General features: G+C 40.6%; 1 protein-coding gene across 1 annotated transcript in view; it reads right to left on the reverse strand.

Annotated features, from left to right (window-relative positions):
* Window positions 1–8,310, reverse strand: part of SLC30A10 (solute carrier family 30 member 10) — a 48,654-nt gene extending 40,344 nt beyond the window's left edge. The window contains exon 1 of the mRNA NM_001376929.1: window positions 7,780–8,310. Coding sequence (NP_001363858.1) covers window positions 7,780–8,230 — 451 coding nt within the window. The 5' untranslated portion in view covers window positions 8,231–8,310. The remainder of the gene's footprint in view (window positions 1–7,779) is intronic.

The following is an 8,535-nucleotide window of genomic DNA, read 5'->3' on the forward strand; positions in this document are numbered from 1 at the left end:
AACACAAAAATTAGCCAGGCGTGGTGGCGGGCGCCTGTAATCCCAGCTACTCAGAAGGCTGAGGCAGGAGAATGGTTTAAACCTAGGAGGTAGAGGTTGCAGTGAGCTGAGATCATGCCATTGCACTCCAACCTAGGTGACAAGAGCAAAACTCCGTCTCAAAAATAAATAAATAAAACACACCATGAAGGTGTTGTTATTTGTCAAAAGAAAAACAGATTCTTATGGCTCACTGCAGCCTTGATAAGAAGGTGCATCTGTCCTCAGGCTCAGGTGATCCTCCCACCTCAGCTTCCCAAGTAGCTGGAACTATAGGCACGCACCACCACATCTGGCTAATTTTTCTTATTTTTGTAGAGGTGAGTCCTCGCTATGTTGCCGAGGCTGGTCTCAAACTCCTGGGCTCAAGCAATCCACCCACTTCAGCCTCCCAAAGTGCTGGGATTACAGGTGTGAGCCACCGCCCCTGGCTGTAGAGTGATTCTTTAAAATAGGTGTAATGATACCTAAGATGAGGCTCAAAGTGCTTAAGTATCTTTTCCAGTGTCAGAACCAGTGGATGAGGGAGGACGTTCCAGAACATGTATTTTTCTTTTTTTAAGTTAATTTATTGTGTAGTTATTTATTTACTTTTAGAAACAGGGACTTGGGGGCCGGGCGCGGTGGCTCACGCCTGTAATCCCAGCACTTTGGGAGGCCGAGGCGTGTGGATCACGAGGTCAGGAGATCGAGACCATCCTGGCTAACATGGTGAAACCCCGTCTCTACTAAAAATACAAAAAATTAGCCGGGTGTGGTGGCGGGTGCCTGTAGTCCCAGCTACTCGGGAGGCTGAGGCAGGAGAATGGCGTGAACCCAGGAGGCGGAGCTTGCAGTGAGCCAAGATCGCGCCACTGCACTCCAGCCTGGACGACAGAGTGAGACTCCATCTCAAAAAAAAAAAGAAAAGAAAAGAAAAGGAAAGAAACAGGGACTTGGTCTGTCACCCAGGTTGGAGTGTAATGGCATGCTATCATAGCTCTTTGCAACCTCAAACTCCTGGGTCCAAGCTATCCTCCTGTCTTGGCCTCCCAAAGTGCTGGGATTACAGGCATGAACATTGTGCCCAGCTGAAATATATATTTTTGTTACTGGTCTATGCTCCTTCTGGTTCATCCCACAAGAGATGCCACTAACCCATCATCAAAACAACACATGTTTTGTACGGTTTGTAGAAATAGTGATGGATCTGCTGTAACCATATATATGATTAACAATAATAAGAGTCTTGGCAAGGATAAGGTGGCCTGCCAGTTTGTGGATGTGAAATAGAGCAGAGACCTTGTCTGCCAAGGGATCTTACTAATATTTCATTAGTTCCTCTTCCCTTCAGCCCTTGGACAATCACTACCAGCCACCACCACCACCACCAATGTTACCATTTATTGAGTGTTCAGTGTATTCCAAGTACTGTGTTGAGTACTTTACACAAATAATATAATTTCATTCTTGCAACATCTCTAAGAGACAGATATTACCAGATTTACAGATGAAGAAACTGAGGTTTAGAAAGTTTAAGTGACTTTTTGGAGGTCATCTAGCTACTGGAATTAGGATTCAACTTATGGTATGTTCATTTGCACATTTTAATATGCCCTTTTGTGATTATTGCCAAATAACTTTCCACAGTCCATAACTGTTTTCCTCTCTGAGGGGAGCCAAGTAGAGTAGAGTCTTTAATTAAGGGCCTGGACTCAAAGTTTTAATTTCTTTGTACCCTACTATTAACTAGCTGTATGATTGTGGAATTTGTCTGAACCTGTTTTCCTTGTCTAAACAATGGAAATAAATAGCAAGTATTCTCTCTAGCTAATTATTTTGTACAGTTCTTCAAATGTATGTGATATGATGCTGTTAATTATTCTCTCTATACTCTGACAAAGACTGACAATGCACAGATGTCAATATAAACTCATTTTTCATTAAAATTTACCTGATATCAGTCATAGCAGCCTCTGCACATTGGAAAAAAAAATTACTAAGAACAAAGAGATGGTCTCTTTAACTTCTTTTTTCTTCAGTTGAATTTGGTTTCACAAATGTGAAATAGCACCTATTTTTCTATCTTCCTTTAATCTTTCTTATTTACTCCCCGTAACTAATCCAGACCCCTTCACGGGACAACAAGAGAAGTAAGAGGTTAGGTAAGCTGTCAGGAACGTAGCAAAAGAGCTGTGAGGGAATTTATTAGGTCTCTACCATGGGACAGATACTGTGATCTGTGGTGTGTGCATTCTTATCACCGAATCCTCATGTGGAAGTTAATTGATCAACAGCTGTGACAGTGCTTGGAAAACAATGGTTACTGTCAGATATAGACAAAATGCAAAGTAAAGCTGGTGGGAATTAAGCATCATGTTTCTTTAAATTATTTAATAATTATCACAAATTCCCAATCATTACCATTCTGCCTCCGATCTAGAAAGGGAACTCAGGTAACCTATGCCTAGAAAACCTTCCCTTTTCTAGTTTGAAAAGCCACCTTCAGGCCGGGCACGGTGGCTCATGCCTGTAATCCCAGCACTTTGGGAGGCCGAGGCGGGCAGATCATGAGGTCAGGAGATCGAGACCATCCTGGCTAACACGGTGAAACTCCGTCTCTACTAAAAATACAAAAAATTAGCCGGGTGTGGTGGCACAAGCCTGTAATCCCACCTACTCGGGAGGCTGAGGCAGGAGCAGGAGAATTGCTTGGACCAGGGAGGCAGAGGTTATCGTGAGCCCGAGACTGTGCCACTGCACTCCAGACTGGGTGACAGAGTGAGACTCCGTCTCAAAAAAAAAAGAAAAAGAAAAGAAAGAAAGAAAAGCTACCTTCAATTATGCAGCTTCTCAAATTTTATTTTATTTTATTTTATTTTATTTTATTTTATTTTATTTTATTTTATTTTATTTTTGAGACTGAGTCTTGCTCTGTTGCCCAGGCTGGAGTGCAGTGGCCCGATCTCGGCTCACTGCAAGCTCCACCTCCTGGGTTCACACCATTCTCTTGCCTCAGCCTCCCGAGTAGCTGGGACTACAGGCGCCTGCCACCACGCCCGGCTAATTTTTTGTATATTTAGTAGAGATGGGGTTTCACCGTGTTAGGCAGGATGGTCTCGATCTCCTGACCTCATGATCTGCCCGCCTCAGCCTCCCAAAGTGCTGGGATTACAGGCGTGAGCCACCGCGCCCGGCCTCAAATTTTATTTACTCCATAGTATTTGCTACTGGTAGAGAGACAGCAAATTCCCCTTTGCCTCTCCTAAAATTCTTGGCCTTGCCTACTCTGCTTGTCACTGAATAAAATTTCCTCTATGACAAAAGGAAACCTGACTTGTTTCAGCGGCTACAGGACTGTCCACGTGAAAAGCCCATGTCAGGCTATAGTACTGAGTCTTAACTAGAAGCTTGCATGAGCAACTAATCAGCAGTGTGTTAAAACCTTCTGCAACAATACACTTTGCTGGATGCTGTGCTGTCACTGCCTCTAGCGAGTTGGTTGGAGAAACATAATGCCAGAACCGTGATTATGAGAAACAGAAGGAGAGAGAGAGAAAGCAAGCACAATTTGGAATCAAAACAAAACTTAGCCGGGCACAGTGGTTCACACCTGTAATCCCAGCACTTTGGGAGGCTGAGGCGGGTGGATCACTTGAGGCCAGGAGTTCAAGACCAGCCTGGCCAACATGGTGACACCCCATTTCTACTAAAAATACAAAAATTAGCTGGGCATAGTGGCGCACGCCTGTAATCCCAGTTACTTGGGAGGCCGAGGCACGAGAATTGCTTGAACCGAGGAGGCAGAGGTTGCAGTGAGCCAAAGATCATACCACTGCACTCTAGCCTGGGCAACAGAGTGAGACTCCATCTCAAAAAAAAAAAAAAAAAAAAAAAACTTAAATTCAAAGGAAAGGCATTTTTTTAAGAAAAAAATACTTTAAAATAATTAACAGATATTTCTGATATAAATGTATCATTTGTACATGATATAAATGGCAGGCCCCGTCTATCCCAGACAGAAAAAGACGCAAAATAGAGCAGAAGCCATCCTACTAGAAAAGTGAGCTGTACAAGGTCACCTTTAGGTTAAAATAAAGGCCACTGTACAGCAAGGTTATTCGTACAGTACAAGGCAAGGGCATGGAGGGTTTTAGTAGCTTGATTCTAAAGAAACTTCAGGTCTGAAAAAATAACTAAAAATAAGACTTAAACATGAAAGATAACAAGAAAATCAAGGAAAATCAAATAAAGTAAGCAAGGAATAGGAAAACGTATAAACGTTAACAAAAGGAGTCCCTAAGCCTAGAGAAAGAAACTGGCTCGTGACAAGTATCTCCTGCGATCTGGACCTACATGTTGTTTCCACCCCTTCAACCTTTCCCCTACTCCCTTCCCCGAAACACATGCACACACAAAGCCATCGACCATTGTGGACTTTAACCCTATTTTGTTTGTTTGTCTTTTACTTAATGCTCGTATTTTTTACTTTTTTCACTTTGCCTCTCACTTTAGCCAAAAATACTGGCTCTACCATCACCTGAACTTCCTCACACCTTTTAGAGTCAGGGGTGACCTCCCACCGGCTAGATCTGGATCTAAGACTTCCAAGTTTTCTCATCTCAGCTAAATCTTCCAGACATTCTTTTCTCGCAGGTTTTAAAAATTTTCTGGTTCTGTATGTCTGATTCTCCAGTATAACTTTTTTCATGAATCCCAGGGATATTTAAAGTCTTACCTATATATAGTTTGTTCTATTATATTTAATTTAAAGTTAGTGGTCTTGATTTTTTTTACTTTCCATGATCTCAAACATCAAATATTATGAATTCAATTTCTACACCAGATAGATAAGCAGAACAAGTAAAAGATCCACAAAACCTGGGGGAGACTGAAGGCTTGTTAAGCAAAATCTCTAGTTAGAGATTCCACAAAAGAAGTGATACATTACTGGATTCTGATCATGAAGCCAGGCGGTACCAGGAGTTGTTTTATAGGCACTGCCATGTGCTATAAGCTAGGGTTCTAGACTTACAGAAATTCTTTATCCTAAGTTTAGGTTGAATCTTTTGAAATCAAGAGTCTTTCCCTCTCATAGTTTATAACTCCTTTTATAAATATGGATGGATTAATCATATTTGTTCTTAAAATGTGAGCCAATTGATATCAGGTTAATGTCAATTTATGACGTTCGTCTGATGCAATATTTATTCTTTTCTTTAAACCAATTTAGATGATGGGAAGAATACCAAAATGTATGGTTCAGAAAAGGTGATACATAACTGCAGACATAAATGCTAACAAGCCAAACAGCTGTCCTAAAGGAATTTGGCAAGTTTAAACACTAAAATTTCTTTTCTTTTTCTTTTTTCTTCTTTTTTAGTGACAGGGTCTCACTCTGTCACCCTGGCTGAAGTGCAGTGGTGTGATCATAGCTCACTGCAGCCTCAAACTTCTGGGCTCAAGTGATCCTCCTGCCTCAGTCTCCTCAAGTCTAGGATTACAGGCATGAGCTGCTGTACACAGCCTAAAATTTCTAATAGAAGAATTTAACAACACCAAAAGCTGCCAAAATAATAATGGTAACATAGAACATGGATCTTAAAGCGTGAGTCACACGTGTATTGTACCTATCACTTATTTAAACTAGAACACTATATAGCATCAAATACTTCAAAACAAGCTAGATACTCTAGAATTAAGCCAGCAGAAACCCATATGGCTGGACCAGACACTGGGGCACACACCTATAATCCCAGTGCTTTGGGAGGCCAAGCAGGTGGATCACTTGAGCTCAAGAGTTCGAGACCAGCCTGGCCAACATGGCGAAACCCTGTCTCTACTAAAAATAAAAATTAAAAAAAAAAAAAAGAAGAAAAGAAAAAAAAGAAACCCATATGGTTGGAGTGAAACATTTGTCTTAAGCCTCTTGTTATCTCAGCATGAACATACACATTGGAAAATACCACTTCCCAAACAAAAGCTTAACTAAGACCTATCCAGTAATAATTCAATTTTATAAAAATAGAACTATGGTGTGTACCAAGTTTCATACTGGTCAGAGTCAGACCGTTTACCTAAATTGCTTTTGTTATGTGCAGGTAAATGTTGTATGTCAAGAATGAAGGCAAAATCAGAACTGTTATGTGACAATCAAAAATATAATGGTAATGTCAACACTAATCATTTGAAATCATCTCTCTTGCCTTAAATTTATACCTAGCAATAAAAAATATATATTTGTCTTATATGAAATATGTGAATTTCATGATCTGGAAGCTCTAGTAGTAATTTTCACGATGATTGGTGTAGCCATAGCATAGGGTCTCAAGTTAACAATGAATTTTCCTTTACAAAAGATGAGGCCCAAATTCAGTGATTCATTAACTCAAATAAAAATCTAGACTCTAGTTTCTAATTTATTTTTATGTTTACCACATCCTACAGATACTCTCATAACATATGTTCTACCAACAGGAAAATCGACACAGAGGTAGGATAAAGGACCGGCTCCAACTGACGTAATTTATCATAGTAGCAAAGACAGGGAATCAAATAAAAAATGCAACTTAGCCTCTGAGGTCCCCATACTCAGTTATATAATGGCCCAGCTACTGAGAGAAAACTCTTCAGCATCAAATAAGGAAATATTTGAAATTTTTAAAAATTCATATGAGCTATTAGAATTAAATACCGGATTGCCATGTAGTTTAAAGGCTTGCATTGTGATTTCGAAAATAATTTATATTTATCAAGTGCCTACTAAATACTAAATAAGTTACTTAGCATTTCTCTCAGTCCTTATTAACTCCATATTACAGGTAGAGAAACATGCTAGGTGAAGTAAGTTGACTATTGCCCTGTGCTGGAACCATAATTTGAATCTATTCATGCTATATGACTTCTTTTATAAAAGCACTAAAAATTTCTCTTCTGTAAGAACTTTCTGATACATATATACTTACAAACACCTCTTGTGGCAATAAATTAAAGAAACATGATTCCATCTTAAAAAAAAAGCATCTTATAGATATATTGTTCTCTTCCAAGATTTAATTCCATTCTTTTGACAGATAATCTAATAAGTTTGGTACTCACACTTAAGTCTCTCCTAAAGATTCACATGTAAATTGTCCTGTTTCTCAAACAGAACAGACGTATGCAATAAATAAGTGCAAATTTTCCTTTCAAAAACTAGCCCATTTACTGGACTATCTTCTTTATTTTTTCTCTCGCCATTTTACATACCATTCCTCAAATATATTCCTAACAGTTAATCAGCGTACCTGATTGTCTGATACTGTGCTCTTTGTAAGTTGGTTATGTAGCCCAGTACTTTTAAACATATTTTATGGAGACATTAACTTTTTTTTAAATTCAAACATAGCCATGTCACATATGGGTAAACAACAGTGAATCACTTAAAGAAGACTGCCACATCCACCGTCTTTCCAATCGCTCTCTCTGTGGCTACGATTAGTGCCTTTACTTCCTCTCTGCGTGCCTGAAGACACTTTTTCATTCCCTGTGAGTAAAAATTCGAGAAGTCCTCCCAACATTGAAGCAAACTGCTGCTACCCTACTCACAAGGAACCTCAAACTAAAGGCAACTCTTCTGAGAAAGGTCGATTGTAAAATCACAGGGACAAAAGGCTGACCCAAAGACTCGGGCCCCTTTGGATAGCACCACAAAGGCCCCCTCAGACAGCACCTGCCAGGACTCTCACCAAATTTACTGCCACCCTCTGAGTAGCTATTTACCTGCTTCCATGTCTCCCTGGGGCTTGGGTGCTGCGCAGTAACAGCAGTCCAAGAAGATGACATAGTTAAGAACATTGAAGAACAGACCGATAATTCCAGCACTGAGAACCAGTATCGGCTCCTCTGTCTTCTGGGGATTGATGTACCTTTTGATGGCTTCAACCAGGATGCTGAACATCAGCGCCACCGCAAAAATGGTGTTCCCAAATGCTCCCACAACATCTGCCCGAAGAAAGCCGTAAGTGCTCTTCTTGTGCTGTTTTATGTTACTGGCCCTTACACCAAAAAAACCTATGATCATGGACACAAAGTGGGAAAGGACGGCAAAAGCATCGGAGGCCAAGGAGAGGGAGTTGCCAACGTAAGCGATCACTAGTTCCATCACAAAGAGGAGGATGCTAACGACGCACATGAGGATTAAACGGAAGCTTCTTCCGGAGTATCGCCCCATGGCGTCTCGGTGCCCTGGCAGTTCCTCTCCCTTTCTTGGGAAGGCTGAGCTGCTAGGGAAGCAGCTATAGATTCAGTGATTACAACTCCTGGGTAACTCTTCCCTTCAGCCCTCCGGCGCTTGTCATATTTGGAAATCACCTTTTATAGGTTGCTATAAAGCCATAAAACAGTTTAAAGGGCAATTAAGCAAGAGATGTCACATGAGCCAGGATTTATGGAAATACAAGACACTGGCTTCAGATATGGACTTGAGAGACTGTTTTGTTTGTGCATGTGTGTGTTTAATTACAGACGTCAAGAGCT

This window comes from Homo sapiens, chromosome 1, assembly GCF_000001405.40.
Source record: "Homo sapiens chromosome 1, GRCh38.p14 Primary Assembly".
NCBI classification, from domain to species: Eukaryota; Metazoa; Chordata; class Mammalia; order Primates; family Hominidae; genus Homo; species Homo sapiens.